At 47.1% G+C, this 21,514-nt stretch overlaps 1 long non-coding RNA gene across 1 annotated transcript in view, besides 3 other annotated features; it reads right to left on the reverse strand.

The window, feature by feature from the left end:
- Nucleotides 2,768-2,817: an enhancer, noted in NCBI's record as "active region_12282". NCBI's record gives its function as "activates an Ori minimal core promoter by ATAC-STARR-seq in GM12878 lymphoblastoid cells {active_cell/tissue: GM12878}" and the evidence as "EXISTENCE:reporter gene assay evidence [ECO:0000049][PMID:35858748]".
- Nucleotides 2,961-21,514, reverse strand: part of FMNL1-DT (FMNL1 divergent transcript) — a 30,835-nt gene continuing 12,281 nt past the window's right edge. The window contains exon 3 of the long non-coding RNA NR_147507.1: nt 2,961-3,200. This is a non-coding gene — a long non-coding RNA (FMNL1 divergent transcript). The remainder of the gene's footprint in view (nt 3,201-21,514) is intronic.
- Nucleotides 14,593-14,777: a silencer, noted in NCBI's record as "fragment chr17:43279930-43280114 (GRCh37/hg19 assembly coordinates)". NCBI's record gives its function as "represses an EF-1alpha promoter that drives an FKBP-Casp9 reporter gene in an ReSE screen in HepG2 liver carcinoma cells {active_cell/tissue: HepG2}" and the evidence as "EXISTENCE:reporter gene assay evidence [ECO:0000049][PMID:32094911]".
- Nucleotides 15,665-15,926: a silencer, noted in NCBI's record as "fragment chr17:43281002-43281263 (GRCh37/hg19 assembly coordinates)". NCBI's record gives its function as "represses an EF-1alpha promoter that drives an FKBP-Casp9 reporter gene in an ReSE screen in HepG2 liver carcinoma cells {active_cell/tissue: HepG2}" and the evidence as "EXISTENCE:reporter gene assay evidence [ECO:0000049][PMID:32094911]".

The following is a 21,514-nucleotide window of genomic DNA, read 5'->3' on the forward strand; positions in this document are numbered from 1 at the left end:
CTGTGCCCAACCCCTTCTCCCTTTCTCCCTTCCTTCTTCCCTCCTCCTCCCGTCTTTTTCTTTCTTTTTTTTTTTTTAAATGGAGTTTTGCTCTGTCACCCAGGCTGGAGTTCAGTGGCACTATCTTGGCTCACTGCAACCTCCGCCTCCCAGGTTCAAGCAATTTTCCTGCCTCAGCCTCTCAAGTAGCTCGGATTACAGGCCTGCACTACAACACCTGGCTAATTTTTGTATTTGTATTTGTATTTTTTAATTTTTTGAGATGGAGTCCAGCTTTGTCGCCCAGGCTGGAGTGCAGTGGTGCAATCTTGCAACCTCTGTCTCCTGGATTCAAGCGATTCTCCTGCCTCAGCCTCCCCAGTATCTGGGACTACAGGCACACGCCACCACATCCAGCTAATTTTTTATATTTTTGCTAGAGACAGGGTTTCACCATGTTGGCCAGGCTGGTCTTGAACTCCTGACCTCAAGTGATCTACCTGCCTTGGCCTCCCAAAGTGCTGAGATTACAGGCGTGAACCACCCCTCTCGGCCCAGAGTTACTTTTCAAATGTTTAATTTATTATATGGTATTTTAGCCATAAAATATTATACAATATTTTAAGCTGGGTGCGGTGGCTCAAGCCTGTAATCCCCACGCTTTGGGAGGCCGAGGTGGGTGGATCACCTGAGGTCGGGAGTTCGAGACCAGCCTGACCAAAATGGTGAAACCCTGTCTCTACCAAAAATACAAAATTAGCTGGGTGTAGTGGCGCATGCCTGTAATCCCAGCTACTAGGGAGGATGAGGCAGGAGAATCACTTGAACCTGGGAAATGGAGGTTGCAGTGAGCCGAGATGGCGGCATTACACTCCAGCCTGGGCAACAAGAGCGAAACTACGTCTCAAAAAAAAAAAAAAAATACACACACACACACACACACACACACACACATGGCCGTAAAATATTATACAATATTTTATATAATATTTTATATTTATGGCTAAAATATTGATGGGGTTTTGCCATGTTGCCCAGCGAAATCCTGTCTCTACTAAAATACCTATGTACCCATCACCCGGTTTAAGAACTATCAACTCTTAATGCTGTGTGTGGGAAGCATTTAATGCTGTGTGTAGGAAGAAAAAAAGTTGCAACATTGTGGTGATTGTTGAAGCCCCAGCATTATTCTGCTCTCTAATTGCACTCTCCCTCCTAGAGGTAATTGGGATCCTAGCTTGGTGACAATCATTTCCATGCATCTTTAGAAACATGAAGTTGCTTTTGACTGACAGGGAATTTCGAGCTTGATTCTTGACAAGGAAACATAGCAGAAGGTAGGTCTAAAGATGGAAGTGTAGCTTGAATGGAATCTCTTTTGGAAATATATAATGATGAAATATTTCAGACACAGAAAGGCACATATAGAATAATAGAATGAACCTCTTGCTTAGGAAATAAAACATTAAAAATACTACCCCGCCCTCCTCAAAACAGTCCCCAGGGTTTTCCTTCCTGATTGCATCCTTCTTCTTTTTTTTTTCTTTATTTTTTTGAGACAGAGTTTTGCTCTTTTTGCCCAGGCTGGAGTGCAATGGCACAAATCTCGGCTCACTGCAACCTCCGCCTCCCAGGTTCAAGTGATTCCTCTGCTTCAGCCTCCCGAGTAGCTGGGATTACAGGCATGCACCACCATGCCTGGCTAATTTTGTATTTTTGTGTTTTTAGTAGAGACGGGGTTTCTCCATGTTGGTCAGGCTGGTCTCGAACTCCCGACCTCAGGTGATCCTCCTGCCTCAGCCTTCCAAAGTGCTGGGATTACAGGCATGAACCACCATGTCCAGGATTTTTTTTTTTTTTTTTTTTGCGATGGAGTCTCACTCTGTTGCCTAGGCTGGAGTGCAGTTGTGCCATCTCAGCTCACTGCAACCTCTGCCTCCCGGGTTCAAACAATTCTCCTTCCTCAGCCTCCCGAGTAGCTGGGACTACTGGTGTGTACCACCACACCCTGCTAACTTTTATATTTTTAGTAGAGACAGGGTTTCGCCAGGCTGGTCTCAAACTCTTGACCTCAGGTGATCCACGTGCCTCAGCCTCCCAAAGTGCTGGGATTACAGGCGTGAGCCACCCCGTCCAGCCATATATATATATTTTTACTAGACATCATGTTGGCCAGGCTGGTCTTGAACTCCTGACTTCAGGTGATCCACCAGCCTCAGACTCCCAAAGTGCTGAGAGGACAGGAGTGAGCCACCATGCCCAGCCTGATTTCATCCTTTTAGATGAACTGCCCTTCTGAATTTGGGGCCTATCATTTTGACCTGAATCCTGGGGGAGGAGCAGCAGTTTGGAGACAGGTAGGCGTAGGAAGGGGTGTCACCAACAGAAAGGCAGGGTAAAGACCCAGGGGAGTGAGTTTGGGAGGCAGGTGTTGGCATGGCTGGTAAGCTGGGTACCTGTCGGGGAGGGGCTGGGACAGGTAAGTAGCTGGCCCCACTCTCCTCTGGGCCCTGCCTTCCGTATTTCCCTCTATCATTGTCCTAATCACACAGAATCCTAATGATCTGTTAGCTTGACTCCAAGATCCTGAGGGTAGGGAACCTCTTGGTCATTGTCACCCCAGTGGCTAACACAGTGGCTGGCACAAATGGCTTTTTGTTAAATATTAAATTGATACATGAGCGAATGAGTAACTGACTGATTTCAGCCTGCCTGGTGAGGGAGTTGCTGGTAGCAAGACAGTCTGAGTGCAAAGTGTGAACGAGAGCATTTTTGAAGAGAATTGTCATTTTATTACCATTCAGTACAGTAACACCTCTGCCTTCATCAGTGTGGCCTAGTAGAGAACTTGCTTGAATGCATATCAGTCAGGGTGAGAAATCTGCTGTGCAGGCAGGTGTGCGATGATGCGGTAACCAGATGGGCTTCTTGCAGCTTCAACCACCGCCAGCGTCATTCACTACCCTTCAAACTATCAGCTCTGATTGGAGTTAAAGGAATAATCAGTCTCCCACAGAAGTAGGACCTATTTCTCTTCCTTCAAAACAATCCTCAAAGCCTGTGAATCCCCTCCAGTGTGCTTATTATGCAGTTAGCTCTGCTCGTGGCTGCAGAGACAGCTCGTTTTGCATTCCTAGAAGCCCCTCTCAGGGCTGGGCATGCTTCGGTGGGTTTTGAGTGGTGAGAAGTGCTTTTCTCAGAGGCTGCATTCCACATGAGGCCTAATAAACAGATAAAACGTGTCTGCAATTAGTGGCATCTCTGCACGCAGACTTAATGTGCTGAAGGCTGTTTGTTGATTTTTTTGCACTGTTCAAAGCAATGCCACAAGCTGTTTGGGCCAGACGTTGGCTTAGAGAGCCCCGTCTTCCCATGAAAAGGACAATGCAGTGATACAAAAGAGCCCAATGGGTTGAGCTACATCTATCACATAGGCAAATCTGAACAGGTTTCCAAAAAAGATCAAATTATTAAAAGATTTGGCTGGGCGTGGTTGTTCACACCTGTAATCCCAGCACTTTGGGAGGCCGAGGTGGGTGGATCATGACGTCAGGAGATCGAGACCATCCTGGCCAACATGGAGAAACTCCATCTCTACTGAAAATACAAAAATTAGCTGGGTGTGGGGGTGCATGGCTGTTATCCCAGCTACTCAGGAGGCTGAGGCAGGAGAATCGCTTAAACCTGGGAGTCGGCGGTTGCAGTGAGCCGAAATCACGCCACTGCACTCCAGCCTGGTGACAGAGCGAGACTCTGTCTCAAAACAAAACAAAACAAAACAAAACAAAACAAACAAAAAAACAAGAAGATTTGAGCAGTATTTATCCATAGAAATTTGGGGCCACCCGATTCTAAATTTGCAGTTTTTATTTTTTTTTTAGACAGGGTCTCACTCTGTCACCCAGGCTGGAGTGTGGTGGCGCAATCTCAGCTCACTGCAACCTCTGCCTCTTGGGTGCAAGTGATTCTCCTGAGTAGCTGGGATTACAGATACCCATCACCATGCCTGGCTAATTTTTGTATTTTTAGTAGAGACGGGGTTTCGCCATGTTGGCCAGGCTGGTCTTGAACTCCTGACCTCAAGTGATCCACCTGCCTCGGCCTCCCAAAGTGCTGGGATTACAGGCATGAGCCACTGCGCCCGGCCCTGAATTTGCAGAGTTCTGATTAATGAAGTTTTGTTCTTTCACTGTGCCCTGTAATTCAGTAATTCTGTAATTCAGTTCAGATACAGATAGTGCTGAGTCAGGTTGGGGTCTCTACTATTGCTACCCCTCTCCAGTCACCCCCTGTTTGCAGAAGAGTAGGGAATGGCCTGGACTTGGGATTTGGCATAGGAGGGTCTGGCATCAAACCATGGTTCTGATGCTTTACTGGCCAAGTGATCGAGTGATCTTTCATTCCCCAAGCACTTATTGAGGGCCAGCACTGGGTTGGTGCTGGAAAGACAAAGATAAATAGGACACAATTTCCTCCCTTCCTCCTTTTCTTTTTTCTTTTCTTTTCTCTTCTCTTCTTTTCTTTTTTTCTCTCTCTCCCTCTTTCTTTTACTGAGGAGTTCTTTTAACTATGTCAATCAGAAAAATATAAAGTATTCAGAATAATAAAATGAACACCCATGATAAGAACATCCCGCTTAAGACATAAAGCGGCTGAGTGTGGTGGCTCACCCCTGTAATCCCAGGATTTTGGGAGGCCGAGGTGGGCAGATCATGAGGTCAGGAGATCAAGACCATCCTGGCCAACATGATGAAACCCCGTCTCTACTAAAAACACAAAAATTAGCCGGGCGTGATGGCATGTGCCTGTAGTCCCAGCTACTTGGGAGGCTGAGAAAGGAGAATCGCTTGAACTGGGGAGGCAGAGGCTGCAGTGAGCTGAGATCGCGCCACTGCACTCCAGCTTGGATGACAGAGTGAGACTTTGTCTCAAAAAAAAGAAAGAAAGCTAGAAATACTTATTATTATTATTATTTTTTGAGACGGAGTCTCGCTCTGTCACCCAGGCTGGAGTGCAGTGGCGTGATCTCGGCTCATTGCAACCTCCGCCTCCTGGGTTCTCGCCATTCTCCTGCCTCAGCCTCCTGAGTAGCTGGGACTACAGGCACCTGCCACCACACCCGGCTAATTTTTTGTATTTTTAGTAGAGATGGGATTTCACCGTGTTAGCCAGAATGGTCTCGATCTCCTGACCTGTGATCCGCCTGCCTCGGCCTCCCAAACTGCTGGGATTACAGGCATGAGCCACCGCGCCCGGCCTCTTATTATTTTTTTAACTTTTAGAGACAGAGTCTCACTCTGTTGCCCAGACTGAAGTGAAGTGGCTTGATCACAGCTCAGTGCAATCTCCAACTCCTGAGCTCAAGCAATCCTCCAGTGTCAGCCTCCTGAGTAGCTAGGACTACAGGTACACACTACCAAGCCTGGTTAATTTTTAAATTTTTTTTTTTTTTTTTGAGACAGAGCCTCGCTCTGTCGCCCAGGCTGGCGTGATCTCAGCTCACTACAACCTCCGCCCCTCGGGTTCATGCCATTCTCCTGCCTCAGCCTCCTGAGTAGCTGGGATTACAGGCGCCGGCCACCACGCCCGGCTAATTTTTTGTATTTTTAGTAGAGACGGGGTTTCACAGTGTTAGCCATTATGGTCTCGGTCTCCTGACCTCATGATCTGCCCGCCTTGGCCTCCCAAAGTGCTGGGATTACAGGCGTGAGCTACCACGCCCAGCCAATTTTTAAATTTTTTGTAGAGATGGGGTGTCACTATGTTGTCCAGGCTGGAGTCAAACTCCTGACCTCAAGTGATCCTCCTACCTCAGCCTCCCAAAATGCTAGGATTATAGGCAAGAGTCACCACTCCCAGCCTAGAAAAACTTTTGAAACTTTTTCCTTTGTGCATATCTCAGTCCCTTCTCTCCCACTGAAGGAAAATCTCTGTTATGCATTCAGTGTTATCACTCCTCTGCATTTTTTTTTTTTTTTTGAGACGAAGTCTCACTCTGTCACCCAGGCTGGAGTGCAGTGGTGCAATCTCTGCTCATGTGAATCTCTGCCTCCCGGATTCAAATTATTCTCCTGCCTCAGCCTCCCGAGTAGCTGGGATTATGGGTGCCTGCCACCATGCCTGGCTAATTTTTGTATATTTAGTAGAGATGGGGTTTCACCATGTTGGCCAGGCTAGTCTCGCACTCCTGGCCTCAGGTGAACCACCCGCCTCGTGGGATTACAGGCGTGAGCCACCGCACCTGGCCCACTGCATGTCTTTTATTTGTACTACCTAGGTATGTATACTTAAATAATATGTAGTCTTAAGCACTTTAAAAATTTTTATGAATCATACTACCAAAATCTTATAACTTGCTGCTTACTTAAAACGTTTTAAGATTTATTTATGTGGGCGGGGCACAGTGGCTCACGCCTGTAATCCCAGCACTTTGGGAGGCTGAGGAGGGTGGACCACCTGAGGTCGGGAGTTAGAGACCAGCCTGGCCAACATGGAGAAACCCCATCTCTACTAAAAATACAAAAATTAGCCGGGCATGGTGGCACGTGCCTGTAGTCTGAAGGAGGCTGAAACAGGAGGATCGCTTGAACCCGGGAGGCGGAGGTTGCAGTGAGCCAAGATCACGCCACCACACGTCAGCCTGGGTGACAAAGGGAGACTCTGTCTCAAAAAAAAAAAAAAAGATTTATTTATGTGATACATGTAGCTCCATTCATTCGTCTTTGTTCTTTGTCTTATTTTATATTAAGGGTAATTTTTTTATGGAAGTATACAACATTTATACAAAAAAAGTAGATAAATAGTAAGTGTACAGCTTAATGAATTTTCATAGTCAACACACCTATGTAACCACACCCAATGAAGACACAACTGGCCAGGAATGGTGGCTCATGCCTGTAGTCCCATCACTTTTCGGGGACCAAGGTAGGCAGATCACTTGAGCCCAGGAGTTTGAGACCAGCCTGGGCAACATGGTGAAACCCTGTCTCTACCAAAAATACAAAAAATTAGCCGGGTACAGTGGCATGTGCCTGTGGTCCCAGCTGCTTGGGAGGCTGAGGTGGGAGGATTGCTTGAGCCTGGGAGGCGAAGGCTGCAGTGAGCTGAGGTCTCACAATAGCACTCCAGCCTGGGCAACAGAGTGAGACCTCATCTCACAAAAGAAACAAAGAAAAAGAGAAACAACTCTGTCTGTACTCAGAACCAGCCAAGCCCTGTTTTTTTTTTTTTGTTGTTGTTGTTGTTTTTGAGACAGAGTCTAGCTCTGTCACCCAGGCTGGAGTGCAATCGCACGATCTCGGCTCTCAGCTCACTATAACCTCTGCCTCCCAGGTTTAAGAGATTCTTCTGCCTCAGCCTCCTGAGTAGCTGGGACTACAGGCGTGCACCACCACGCCCAGCTCATTTTTGTGTTTTTAGTAGAGACAGGGTTTCACCATGTTGGCCAGGCTGGACTCGAACTCTTAACCTCAGGTGGTCTGCCTGCCTTGGCCTCCCAAAGTGCTGGGATTACAGGCATAAGCCACTGTGCCCAGCCCCAAGTCCTGTTTTTAATAACTGTTCCCCAAGGTAACCTCCATCCTGACCCCTAACATAGATTAGTTGGCTGTTTTGGAATTTTCTATGAAAATAAACATGCTATATGTACCCCTTTGGTGCTCAGTTTCTTTCCTTCAACATTATATCTGTGAGATTTATCCATGTTGTTATGAGTAGTAGCTGTTCATTCTTTTTCATTGCTGTATAATATTCCATTGAATTAATAAACTAAAGTGCCTTCATTCATTCTGCTGCTGCTGGACATTTGGGTTGCTTCCAGTTTGGGGTTATTATGTATGATTAGTGTTTCTATGAAAATTATTTTACATGTCTTTTGGTACACATGTGCATGCATTCCTCTTGAGTTTATATCTAGGATTGGAGTTGCTGGGTCATACTATATAAATATATTCAATTTTAACAGAAAATGTTAAATGGTTTTCCACCCTCACCAGTTCAGTATGAGAATTCCTTTGCTCCACGTACTTGGCCCACACTTGGTGTTGACTGCTTTTTTCATTTTAGCCATTCTAGTGGAGATGGACTTCCTTGTTTTGTTTTGTTTTGTTTTGTTTTGAGATGGAATTTCGCTCTTGTTGCCCAGGCTGGAGCGCAATGGCATGATCTTGGCTCACCACAACCTCTGCCTTCCAGGTTCAAGGGATTCTCTTGCCTCAGCCTCCCCAGTAGCTGGGATTACAGGCATGCGCCACCACGCCTGGCTAATTTTGTATTTTTTGTAGAGACGGGGTTTCTCCATGTTGGTCAGGCTGGTCTGGAACTCCTGACCTCAGGTGATCTGCCCTCCTCAGCCTCCCAAAGTGCTGGGATTACAGGGGTGAGCCACCTCTCCCAGCCCAACTTCCCTGTTTTAAGTTAAATTTATTGTGCTAAGCATTTTACATGCATTTTTTTTTTTTTTTTGGAGACAGAGTCTTGCTCTGTTGCCCAAGCTGGAGTGCAGTGGTATGATCTCGGCTCACTGCAACCTCCGCCTCCTGGGTTCAAGTGTTTGTCATGCCTCAGCCTCCCAAGAGCTGGGATTACAGGTGCATGCCACCATGCCTGGCTAATTTTTGTGTTTCTAGTAGATTGGGTTTCACGATGTTGACCAGGCTGGTCTCGAACTCCTGACCTCAAGCAATCTGCCAGCCTTGACCTCCCAAATGGCTGGGATTACAGGCATGAGCCACCAAGTCAGGCCTTTATATCATCTTCTTTTTTTACCTACATATCAACTCCATGAGGAAGGTATTGCTGTTAACCCTGTTTTACAGATGGGAAACTGAACTTAAAGTTAGGGAACTTCAAGGCCACATAGTGAGGGCTAGTGCAGAACCTCCAGGCTTTACTGTCCCTATTGCTGTGGTCTGTGCCATCTGGTAGTGGTGGAGGGGGTCCCACGAAGACAAATTACTGGAAGCCGATGACACAAATACAGTAACTGGGATATTATTCGAGGTGCACTGGGGGCCCCAAAGCCGAATGAGATGAATTCCACTGCACGGGCTGGAAGGAGTCACAGAGAAGGCCTGGATTGAACTGAATCTTTGGACAAATTTAGAGTGATAGTACCCATCTCTGATGGTCCTAGTGAGGATTTAAGGTGCTTTAAGCATTAGGTAAAGCTCCTGGTACTCGCACATAGCGGGTGCTCAGTGAAGGGCTGTTGAAGGAATTAGTGAACGCATGTAGGATCGGGAGACCTATGCACAGTTATGGTCTTTCCTGGAGCCAGGGGATGGACAAAATGACCTCTCTAGGCCTCTTTCGTCCTGAGTTTGAGTAGGTCAGGGGAAAGCCTAGGGTAAAGGGCCAGCTCCACTAGCCCAGGCAGGGAATGACTCCCCCTGCCCAGCCCCTATGACTAAGGGGCTGTGAGAGCAACTCCTTTCTAGACAAGGAAGAAATAATGTCACAGGGCATTGTCTGCGCTGCTCCCCAGCACCCTGTTACCCCTTCTCCAGCTCTACCCTGAGCTCTGGATCCAGCAGAAGGAACTGAAGTCTAGGACCCACAACCCCCAGAAAAAGGCCCAGGCAGGGGGATGGGCTGGGGAGGTGTGTGTTTGTTTTGAAAGCCTGTAGAGGAGGAGGAGGAGGGGGAGGAGAGGGAGATGGGGTGGAGGAGAGTAGGAGGTGGAGGAGAGGAGGAGGAGGAGGAGGAGAGGGAGATGGGGTGGAGGAGAGGGGTAGGATTAATTTGCAGCTTAGATTTTAGGGCCAAGGATTGAAGCCTCTTCCTGCACTCCTCCCCTCCTCCACTTGGCATTATCCCAAGGAGTTGCCTTGGGGCTTCCGTGATGGCGACGGGAATGCGGGGAAGTTGAGGGCCTGGGAGCCCGAGGCCAGATGGAGGCAAAGAGGAGTGAGGCTGCTCACAGACCCTGGTGGGCTGGGTTCTGGAAGAAAACCATGGGCTGACCAGCTCCAGGGCCTGGCTGAGCCTCAGCCAGGTTCTGCCAGAGCTGGCTCAACAGCGGCACCTGCCGGCTGGGGCCCTCTCTGCGGGGAAGGGCTCCTCCACCGCCCTGGGAGCCCCGCGGGTGAGTCGCTCCTGGCCTGGCTCTGTGGCCTCCCCAGAGGTCAGATCAGGAAATGTTGCGAGCCGAGGAATGTTCTGAAGCGGAGGGCCTCTGCCCTTCTGGCCTCCACCTGTGCCCCTAACACTACCCTGTTCACCCAGGACACTAACCGAGGGCCAGGGCTGGGGGAAAAAGAGTAGGATGAAGGCCACTCACTTTAGGGAGGTTCCTGGTTTGGGTAGTTATTATTATTATTATTTTTTAATTTGGAAATACTTTAAAGCTTACAGAAGAGCTTCAAGAATGATACAAAGATTCTTCCTCCCTTACCTAGATTTATCAGTTGATAACATTTTGCCCCATTTGCTTTCTTTCTCTCTTTGTATATACAGTAGATAAAAACGTAGTTTTAGTTGGTTGAACGTGGGGGACAAGAAAATGAAAAATAAAAAATTAACAAAACAACATAGTTTTAGGCCAGCAGCAGTGGCCCATGCCTGTAATCCCGGTACTTTGGGAAGCCAAGGCAGGATAATCACTTAAGCCCAGAAGTTTGAGACCAGCCTGGGCAACATAGTGAGACCTCGTCTCTGCAAAAAAATAAACAAAATTAGCCAGCTGTGGTGATGTGTAACTGTAGTCCCAGCTACTCAAGAGGCTGAGGTGGGAGGGTCGCTTGAGCCAGCGAGATTGAGGCTGCAGTGAGCCATGATTGCGCCACTGCACTCCAGCCTGGGCGACAGAGCGTGGCCTTGTCTCAAAAAACAAAAAACAAAAAAACAATAAAAGCATAGTTTTTTTTTGGTATATTAACTGAACTGAAAGTGGCAGCCATCATGCCCCTTTGCCCCCAAATACTTCAGTGGGTATTACCTAAGAACAAGGATATTTTCTCGCATCACCACAGTTCAGTGAAATTTAACATCAATACAATAATTTACTGTCTATATTCCAATTTTTATCAATAAGGATCCTTTAGAATATTTTTTCCCTGTAGTATAAGATCCAGATCAGGATCACACATTGCATTTAATTGGCTTCCTCTTCTCCTTTTTTTTTGAGACAATGTCTCACTGTGTCACCCAGCCTGGAGTGCAGTGGCGTGATATTGGCTCACTGCAGCCTCTACTTCCTGGGCTCAACAGATCCTCTCACCTCAGCCTCCTGAGTAGCTGGGACTACAGCGTGCCAGCACACCTGACTAATATTTCTTTTCTTCTTTTAGAAATGAGGTCTCGGCCAGGTGCGGTGGCTCACGCCTGTAATCCCAGCACTGTGGGAGGCCGAGGCAGGCAGATCACGAGGTCAGAAGATCGAGACCATCCTGGCTAACACAGTGAAACCCCGTCTCCACTAAAAATACAAAAAATTAGGCAGGCGCCTGTAGTCCTAGCTACTCGGAAGGCTGAGGCAGGAGAATAGCATGAACCCGGGAGGTGGAGCTTGCAGTGAGCTGAGATCACGCAACTGAACTCCAGCCTGGGTGACAGAGCGTGATTCCGTCTCAAAAAAAAAAAAAAAGAAAAAGAAAAAAAAGAAATGAGGTCTCACTATGTTGCCCAGGCTGATCTACCCACCTCGGCCTCCCAAAGTGCTGGGATTACAGGCGTGAACCACTGTGTCCGGCCATTTTTCTTCTTCTTCTTCTTTTTTTTTTTTTTGAGACGGACTCTTGCTCTGTCGCCAGGCTGGAGTGCAGTGGCGCGATCTTGGCTCACTGCAACCTCCGCCTCTTGGGTTCAAGCAATTCTCCTGCCTCAACCTCTGGAGTAGCTGGGATTACAGGCACTTGCCACCATGCCCAGCTAATTTTTGTATTTTTAGTAGAGATGGGGTTTCATCGTGTTGGCCATGATGGTCTCGATCTCCTGACCTCGTGATCTGCCCACCTCGGCCTCCCAAAATACTGAGATTACAGGCATGAGCCACCACGCCCAGCCATTTTTCTATTTTTTGTAGAGACAGGGGTCTCCCTATGTTGCTCAGGCTGGTCTTGAACTCCTGGGCTCAAGCAATCCTCCTGCCTCAGCCCCCAAAGTGCTTGCTGGGATTTCAGGCATGAGCCACCACACCCAGATATTTAGGCTTCTTTATTTTTTATTTATTTTTATTTTTTGAGACTGAGTTTTGCTCTTATTGCCCAGGCTGGAGTGCAGTGGTGCGATATCGGCTCAACTGGGTTCAAGTGATTCTCCTGCCTCAGCCACCTGAGTAGCTGGGATTACAGGTGCACGCCACCACACCCAGCTAATTTTTGTACTTTTAGTAGAGATGGGGTTTTGGCATATTGGCCAGGCTGGTCTCGAATTTCTGGCTTCAGGCCATCTGCCCATCTCAGCCTCCCAAAGTGTTGGGATTACAGGTGTGAGCCACCATGCTGGCCTAGGCTTCTTTAATCTGGGGCAATTCCTCATCTTTTTCATCTTTCATGACATTTTTTCAGAGTAGGACTCCCCCACACATTTTTCCTTTTAATCGAATGCACCTTATTTGAGGTTTGTCTGGTATTTCCTTATGGATAGATTCAGGCTATGTCTCCCTGGTGCAAATATAAGCAATATTATATTGTTTGGGTGGAGTTCTCTCCACTTTAAGGGATTCATGGAACTTCTGAACCTCTGAGGTTGATTAACCCCTGAGTTGTCTGTCAAAAAAATCAGATTTTCAAAACAAGTTAAGAAGGACATCATGAATTATGCGTGTGTCTTCACTCTGCTGATGGCTGGCTTAGGCTCTGCATTCTCTCTCTCCCTCTTCCCCTCCCGCTACCGAACTTGCCCTTGAAATTTCAGCAGCTGCTGTTGAAAGCATTCTTTTTGAAGGCCACTAGGGACCCCTAATTGCCCAACTCAGTCGCTTTCATAGTCTTCATCCTCTTGACCTCTTCTCAGGGCAACGGACTGGCTCACCCGCCCTTCTCCCTAAAACCACAGAAGGCCGCGCTTGGCTGTCCCAGTCTCTGCCCATTTCCTTCAACAAAAATGACAGAATGCCGGCTGCTCTGGGAGGTACAGAGGTGGATCCACTGTGGAGCCAGCTTTGCAGGTGGTGGCTTGTCAGGAAAATTCTGCAGGTCCTGGTCTTTTTTTCTTTTCTTTTCTTTCTTTTTTTTTTTTTTTTTTGAGACTGAGTCTCACTCTATTGCCCAGGCTGGAGTGCAGTGGCATGATCTCGGCTCACCGTGACCTCCGCCTCCCGGATTCAAGTGATCCTCTTGCCTGAGCCTCCCAGGTAGCTGGGATTACAGGCGCCCACCACCACGCCCAGCTTATTATTGTATTTTTAGTAGAGACAGAGTTTCACCATGTTGGCCAGGCTGGTCTCCAGAACTCCTGACCTCAGCTGATCTAGCCGCCTTGGCCTCCCAAAGTGCTGGGATTACAGGCATGAGCCACCACACCCGGCCTGGTCCTGGTATTTCTTGTATACTCCCCACACCCCAGTGAAGATGTTCTCTCAGCTTTTGTCCTCAGATGGGGTGCCTGGAATTGGTCTTTCCCCTGGAGGAGCCCCACCTTCTAGTGGTTTCAACTTTGCCTCTCCTTCAACAACCCAGGAGGGCAGCCCTGAGTCTCTGACCCTGACTCAGTGGATGTCCAGGCAGAATTATGTCAGGAATGGATCTGGGCTTAGTGTTTCTTCCTCAGCAGCCCCTAGGGCAAACAGACCTCCCCTCATACTCCTTTCCCAGGCCGTGAGCTCTTTTTAGGCAGGTTGGGGTCTAATTCTTCTCTATCCCTCGGCACTGGGCATGCAGTTGGCCCTCCATCAATATTTATGGAATAATGGCCAGGCGCAGTGGCTCATGCCTATAATCCCAGCACTTTGGGAGGCTGAGGCGGGAGGATTACTTGAGGTCAGGAGTTCAAGACCAGCCTGGTCAACATGGCAAAACCCAGTCTCTACTAAAAATACAAAAATTAGCTCGGTGTGGTGGCGCATGCCTGTAATTCCAGCTACTTGGGAGACTGAGGTAGGAGAATCATTTGAACCTGGGAGGCGGAGGTTGCAGTGAGCCGAGATTGGGTCATTGCATTCCAGCCTGGGTGACACAATGAGACTCTGTCTCGAAAAAAAAAAAAAAGTTATGCAATAATGAGCAAAGAGGTTCAGGGCTTGCCTAAGGCTTGGCCTTGCTCTTGGCTTTCATCACAGGGACCTACATGTTGGCTGGCTGTTGGGAGGGAGAGCTTTGGAAACTGGCTGTCCCTGGTACAGGGGAAACAGTGAAGAAAGCTGGGTCCCAATTTCTGGGTTATTGTCTCGGCTCTGCCATTTTCTTTTTCTTTTTTCCCCCCAGTTATTGTTTCCTGTTTTTTCTTTTTCTTTTTTTTTTATTTTTTGAGACGGACTCTCGCTCTGTCACCCAGGCTGGAGTGCAGTGGCACAATCTCGGCTCACTGCAAGCTCCGCCTCCTGGGTTCACGCCATTCTCCCGCCTCAGCCTCCCGAGTAGCTGGGACTACAGGTACCCGCCACCACGCCCGGCTAATTTTGTTTTTGTATTTTTAGTATAGACAGGGTTTCACCATGTTAGCCAGAATGGTCTCGATCTCCTGACCTCGTGATCCTCCCGCCTTGGCCTCCCAAAGTGCTGGGATTACAGGTGTGAGCCACGGTGCCTGGCCTGTTTTGTTTTGTTTTTGTTTTTGTTTTTTTAGATGGAGTCTCACTGTGTCACCCAGGCTGGAGTGCAGTGGCACAATCTCGGCTCACTGCAACCTCTGCCTCCTGGGTTCAAGTGATTCCCCTGCCTCAGCCTCCCAAGTAGCTGGGATTACAGGCACCTGCCACCACGCCCAGCTAATTTTTGTATTTTTAGTAGAGACGAGGTTTCACCATGTTGGCCAGGCTCATCTCAAACTCCTGACCTCAGTTGATCCACCCACCTCGGCCTCCCAAAGTGCTGGGATTACAGGCGTGAGCCACTGCGCCCAGCCCGTTCCTTTTATAAATTATTTCAGTAGGCTTTTGGGGAGCAGGTGGTGTTTGGTTACATGGATAAGTTCTTCAGTGGTGATTTCTGAGATTTTGGTGCATCCACCACCCAAGCTTGTACACTGTACCCAGTGTGTAGTCTTTTATCCCTCGCCCCCGCTCCCAATCTTCCCCTAGAGTCCCCAAAGTCCATTGTTCATTCTTATGCCTTTGTGTTCTCTTATACGTGAGAACATATGTTTGATTTTCCATTCCTGAGTTACTTCACTTAGAATAATGGTCTCCAATTCTATCCAGGTTGCTGCAAAGGCCATGATTTTGTTTCTCTTTTTTTTTTTTTTTTTGAGACAGAGTTTCGCTCTTGTTGCCCAGGCTAGAGTGCAATGATACAATCTCAGTTCACAGCAACCTCTGCCTCCCGGGTTCAAGTGATTCTCCTGCCTCAACCTCCCGAGTAGCTGGGATTACAGGCATGTGCCACCACGCCCAGCTAATTTTGTATTTTTAGTAGAGATGGGGTTTCTCCATGTTGGTCAGGCTGACCTCGAACTCCTGACCTCAGGTGATCCGCCCGCCTTGGCCTCCGAAAGTGCTGGGATTACAGGCATGAGCCTGTATATATGACATTTTCTTTACCCACTCATTGATTGATGGGCATTTGGGCTAGTTCCATATTTTTGCAATTGTGCAATTGTGAATTGTGCTGCTATAAACATGAGTGTGCAAGTCTCTTTTTCATATAATGACTTCTTTCCCTCTGGGTAGATACCCAGTAGTGGGATTGCTGGATCAAATGGTAGATCTACTTTTAGTTCTTTAAGGAATCTCCTGGCCCGGTGCGGTGGCTCATGCCTATAATCCCAGCACTTTGGGAGGCCCAGGTGGGCAGATCACGAGCTCAGGAGATCGAGACCATCCTGGCTAACACGGTGAAACCCCATCTCTACTAAAAATACAAAAAATTAGCCAGGCATGGTGGCAGGCGCCTGTAGTCCCAGTTACTTGGGAGGCTGAGGCAGGAGAATGGCATGAACCTGGGAGGCGGAGCTTGCAGTGAGCTGAGATTGCGCCACTGCACTCCAGCCTGGGTGACAGTTCAAGACTCCATCTCAAAAAAAAAAAAAAAAAAAAGGAATCTCCATACTGCTTTCCATAGTGGTTATACTAGTTTACATTCCCACCAGCATCATAAAAGTGTTCTCTTTTTACTACATCCATGCCTACATCTATTATTTTTTGATTTTTAAATTATGGCCATTCTTGCAGGAGTAAGGTGGTATCGCACTGTGGTTTTGATTTGCATTTCCCTGATAACTAGTGATGCTGAACATTTTTTCATATGTTTGTCGGCCATTTGTATATACTCTTTTGAGAATTGTCTATCTATTCATGTCCTTAGCCCACTTTTTGATGGGATTGTTTGTTTGTTTTTTTTCTTGCTGATTTGTTTGAGTTCCTTGCAGATTTGGGATATTAGTCCTTTGTCAGATGCATAGTTTGTGAAGATTTTCTGCCACTCTGTGGGTTGTCTATTTACTCTGCTGATTATTTCTTTTGCTGTGCAGAAGCTTTTTAGTTTAATTAAGTCCCGTCTATTTATCTTTGTTTTTGTTGCATTTGCCTTTGGGCTCTTGGTCATGATGTCTTTGCTGAAGCCAGTGTTTAGAAGGGTTTTTCAAATGTTATCTTCTAGAATTTTTATGGTTTCAAGTCTTAGATTTAAGTGTTTGATCCATCTTGAGCTGATTTTTATGTAAGGTGAGAGATAAGAATCCAGTTTCATTCTTCTACATGTGGCTTGCCAATTATCCCAGCCACCATTTGTTGAATAAGGTGTCTTTTCCCCACTTTATGTTTTTGTTTGAGTTGTTAAAGATCAGTTGGCTGTAAGTATTTGGATTTATTTCTTGGTTTTCTATTCTGTTCCATTGGTCTATGTGCCTGTTTTTATACAAGTACCATGCTGTTTTGGTGACTATGGCCTTATAATATAGTCTGAAGTTAGGTAATGTGATGCCTCCAGATTGGTTCTTTTTGATTAGCATTGCTTTGGCTATGCAGGCTCTTTTTTGGTTCCATGTGCATTTTTTTTTTCAGATGGATTTTTTTTTTTCTGTCGCCAGGCTGGTGTGCAGTGGCACAATCTCGGCTCACTGCAACCTCCGCCTCCCAGGTTCAAGTGATTCTCCTACCTCAGACTCCTGAGTAGCTGGGACTACAGGCACGCGCCACCATGCCTGGCTAATTTTTGCATTTTTAGTAGAGACAGGGTTTCACTGTGTTGGCCAGGATGGTCTCAATCTCTTGACCTTGTGATCTGCCCACCTCTGCCTCCCAAAGTGCTGGGATTACAGGTGTTAGCTACCATAGCCAGCCCCACATGAATTTTAGGATTGTCTTTTCTAGTTCTGTGAAGAATGATGATGGTATTTTGATGGGAATTGCCTTAGAGTTTTGAATTTCTTTTGGCAGTATGGTCATTTTCACAATATTGATTCTAACCATCCATGAGCATGGGATATGTTTCCATTTGTTTGTGTCTATGATTTATTTCAGCAGTGTTTTGTAGTTTTCCTTATGGAGGTCTTTCACCTCCTTGGTTAGGTATACTCCTAAGTATTTTATTATTATTTTTTGCAGCTATTGTAAAAAAGGTTAGATTCTTGATTCTCAGTTTGGTCATTGTTGATATACAGCAGTGCTACTGATTTGTGCAGATTGATTTTGTATCCTGAAACTTTACTAAATTTGTTTATAAAATCTGGGAGCTTTATGGATGAATCTTTAGAGTTTTTCTAGGTATATGACCATATGATTGGTGAACAGCGACGGTTTGACTTCCTCTTTACCAATATGGATGCCTTTTATTTCTTTTTTTTTTTTTTTGAGATGGGGTCTTGCTGTCTCCCAGGCTGGAGTGCAGTGGCGCAATCTCGGCTCACTGCAAGCTACCCCCCGGCTGGGTTCATGCCATTCTCCTGCTTCAGCCTCCCGAGTAGCTGGGACTACAGGCGCCTGCCACCACGCCCGGCTTATATATATATATATATATATATATATATATATATATATAGTATTTTTAGTAGAGATGGGGTTTCACCGTGTTCACCAGGATGGTCTTGATCTTCTGACCTTGTGATCCGCCCGCCTCGGCCTCCCAAAATGCTGGGATTACAGGTGTGAGCCACTGCGCCTGGCCTGGATGTCCTTTATTTCTTTCTCTTGTCTGATTGCTCTAGGTAGGACTCTGCCATTTTCTTGACCTTGGATATGTCACTAAGCCTCTCAGCGCCCCAGTCTCCGCATCTTAATGAAATAATGGGACTAGTAACACCAACCTAAATGTATTGCCACAAGGATGAAACTAACAAGACCCTTTCACAGGCCCAGTGCCTGGTGTTCAGCGGGTCTTCGATAATTGTTCCTTCTGTTAGCATTCATTAAACACCTACTGTGTACCAGATGCCAGGTTGTGCTCCCCTAGCCCCAAGAATGGACCTAGGTTTTCTAGGTGGCCCCCTTAGTCCACTCTCTCCTCTTAGCTCAGCAGCTCTGGGCAGCTGTGAGTCCCAGTCTATTTGGCTGCAGATTGGATGGGACCTCACCTGCCCTAGTTTGTTTGTTTGCTTTTTTAAGATGGAGTCTCGCTCTGTCGCCCAGGCTGGAGCACAGTGGCATGATCTTGGCTCACTGCAACCTCCACCTCCCTGGTTCCAGTGATTCACCTGCCTCAACCTCCCGAGTAGCTGGGATTATAGGCACCTGCCACCACTTCTGGCTAATTTTTTATTTTTAGTAGAGGTGGGGTTTCACTATTTTGGCCAGGCTGGTCTTGAACTACTGACCTCAAATGATCCACCTGCCTCAGCCTCCCAAAATGCTGGGATTACAGGCATGAGTCACCACACCTAGCCTGTTTATTTTTTGAGACAATTTCTCACTCTGTCACCCAGGCTGGAGTGCAGTGGTTTGATCACGGCTGACTGCAGCCTTGAGCTCCTAGGCTCAAGCGATATTCCCACCTCAGCCTCTTGAGTAGCTGGGACAACAGGCACACACCACCATGCCTTGCTAATTTTTTAGTTTCTATAGAGACAGGGTCTCACTATGTTGCCCAGGCTCATCTTGAACTCCTGGTCTCAAGTGATTCTCCGCCTTGGGCTCCCAAAGCAGTAGGATTACAGGCAGGAGCCACTGCAGCCGGTCCCCATCTGCCCTACTTTTTGTAAGACTTAGGGCCTTGAAAGAAATGACTACATTTTCCTCTTCTGGCTGGGTTGTCAGAGCTGTTTCAGACAGACTGACAGACCAGTAAAGGTGACAGCTGTGGTTTGTAGCCTCTCAGGTCAGTCAGACACAGCCAGAGTGAGAGAAGTGACCAAATGTCTCCTTGGCAGACCGTTTCGAAGATTAAGACACTTAATCTAAGATTAAGATTTGGAGGCTAAGTGTGGTGGCTCATGTCTGTAATCCTAGCACTTTGGAGGCTGAGGTGGGAGGATCACTTGAGGCCCAGGAGTTGGAGACCAGCCTAGGCAGCACAGGGAGAATCTGTTTCTACAAATAATTAAAAAAAAAAAAAATTAGCTGCGCATGGTGGTGCACGCCTGTAGTCCCAGCAACTCAGGAGGCTGTGGTAGGAGGATTGCCTAAACCCAGGAGGTGGAGTCTGTAGTGAGCCATGATTTTGTCACTGCACTCCAGCCTGGGCAATGGAGCAAGACTTTGCCTCAAAATAAATAAATAAATAGGCCAGGTGCAGTGGCTCACACCTGTAATCCCAGCACTTTGGGAGGCCGAGGCGGGTGGATCACGAGGTCAGGAGATTGAGACCATCCTGGCTAACACGGTGAAATCCCGTCTCTACTAAAAATACAAAAAAAAAAAATACAAAAAAAATTTTTTGAGACACTCCATCTCAAATAAATAAATAAATAAAATAAGTAAAAATATAAACATTTGTTGTTAACCAAGAAACTCCTCCTGGCCTCCCTCAGCTGTCCCCTCAGAGGCACCATGAAAAGCAAGAGGGCTAACGTGGGTTTGAATCCTGGCTCTGCCACTTTATAAGTGGGTGACTTGAGTTACTTCATCATTAGCAGCCTCAGTGGCCACTAATGTAAAATGAAACTAGAATAATCTCCAGTTCACAGGGTTTCTGTTTGTATCTCATCCTTTGGATTCTCTCTTCCCAGACTCAGTGATCACTCTCAAACTCAGCCCTTGAATTTTTGTTTTTTTTGAGACAGGGTCTGGCTCTGTTGGCCAGGCAGTGCAGTGGCACAATCATGGCTCACTTCACCCTCTACTTGCCTGGCTCAAGCAATCCTCCTGCCTTAGCCTCCTCAGTAGCTGGGACTACAGGTGTGCACCACTACACCTGGCTAATTTTTAAACTTTTTTTTTTTTTTTTTTGAGATGGAGTGTCACTCTGTCACCCAGGCTGGAGTGCAGTGGCGCGATCTTGGCTCACTGCAACCTCCGCCTCTCGGCTGATTCTCCTGCCTCAGCCTCCCGAGTAGCTGTGACTACAGGTGCACAGCACCACAGCTGGCTAATTTTTGTATTTTTAGTAGCGATGGGGTTTCACCATATTGGTTAGTCTGGTCTTGAACTCCTGACCTCATGATCTGCCTGCCTCGGCTTCCCAAAGTGTTGGGATTATGGGCATGAGCCACCGCGCCAGGCCTTTTTAAACACTTTGTAGAGACGGGGTTCCACTGTGTTGCTCAGGCTGTCCTCGTACTCCTAGGCTCAAGTAATCCTCCTGCCTTGGCCTCCTGAGTAGCTGAGACTTTGGGTTTGTGCTACCATGCCTAGCTAATTTTTTTTTTAATTTTTAGTAGAGACAAGGTCTTGCTATGTTGCTCAGGCTGGTCTCTAACTCCTGGACTCAAGCCGTCCTCCCACCTCAGACTCCCAAAGTGCTGGGATTACAGATGTGAGCCACCACAACTGGCCAGTCCTTTAGTCTTTACCCCTCCTCCTTTGACCTCAGAACTGACTATTGCCAAGTTTGTCCTGCAGATACCTTCCCTCCAAGCAATTGCTGCATATTCATCATCCTCACCTTCACTTCCATTTTTAGGGCACTGTGTGCTCAGAACTTTATACATGGCTTTTTTTGTTTGTTTTTGAGATGGAGTCTTGTTCTGTCGCCCAGACTGGAGTGCAGTGGCATGATCTCAGCTCACTGCAACCTCCACCTCCCAGGTTCAAGCGATTCTCCTGCCTCAGTCTCCTGAGTAGCTGGGACCATAGGTGCCCGCCAACATGCCTGGCTAATTTTTGTATTTTTAGTAGAGACAGGGTTTCACCATGTTGGCCAGGCTGGTCTCAAACTCCTGACCTCCGGTGATCCGCCCGTCTCAGGCTCCCAAAGTGCTGGGATTACAGGAGTGAGCCATAGCGCTCGGGCTATACAAGGTATTTTTGATGTTCTGTTGTAGATATTTTCTAATTTCTGTTAGGAGTTCTTCAAGCCACAAATTTTTAATTAATTCATTCATTAATTTATTTATTTTGAGACAGGGT

The sequence above is a fragment of the Homo sapiens genome, chromosome 17 (genome assembly GCF_000001405.40).
Source record: "Homo sapiens chromosome 17, GRCh38.p14 Primary Assembly".
NCBI classification, from domain to species: domain Eukaryota; kingdom Metazoa; phylum Chordata; class Mammalia; order Primates; family Hominidae; genus Homo; species Homo sapiens.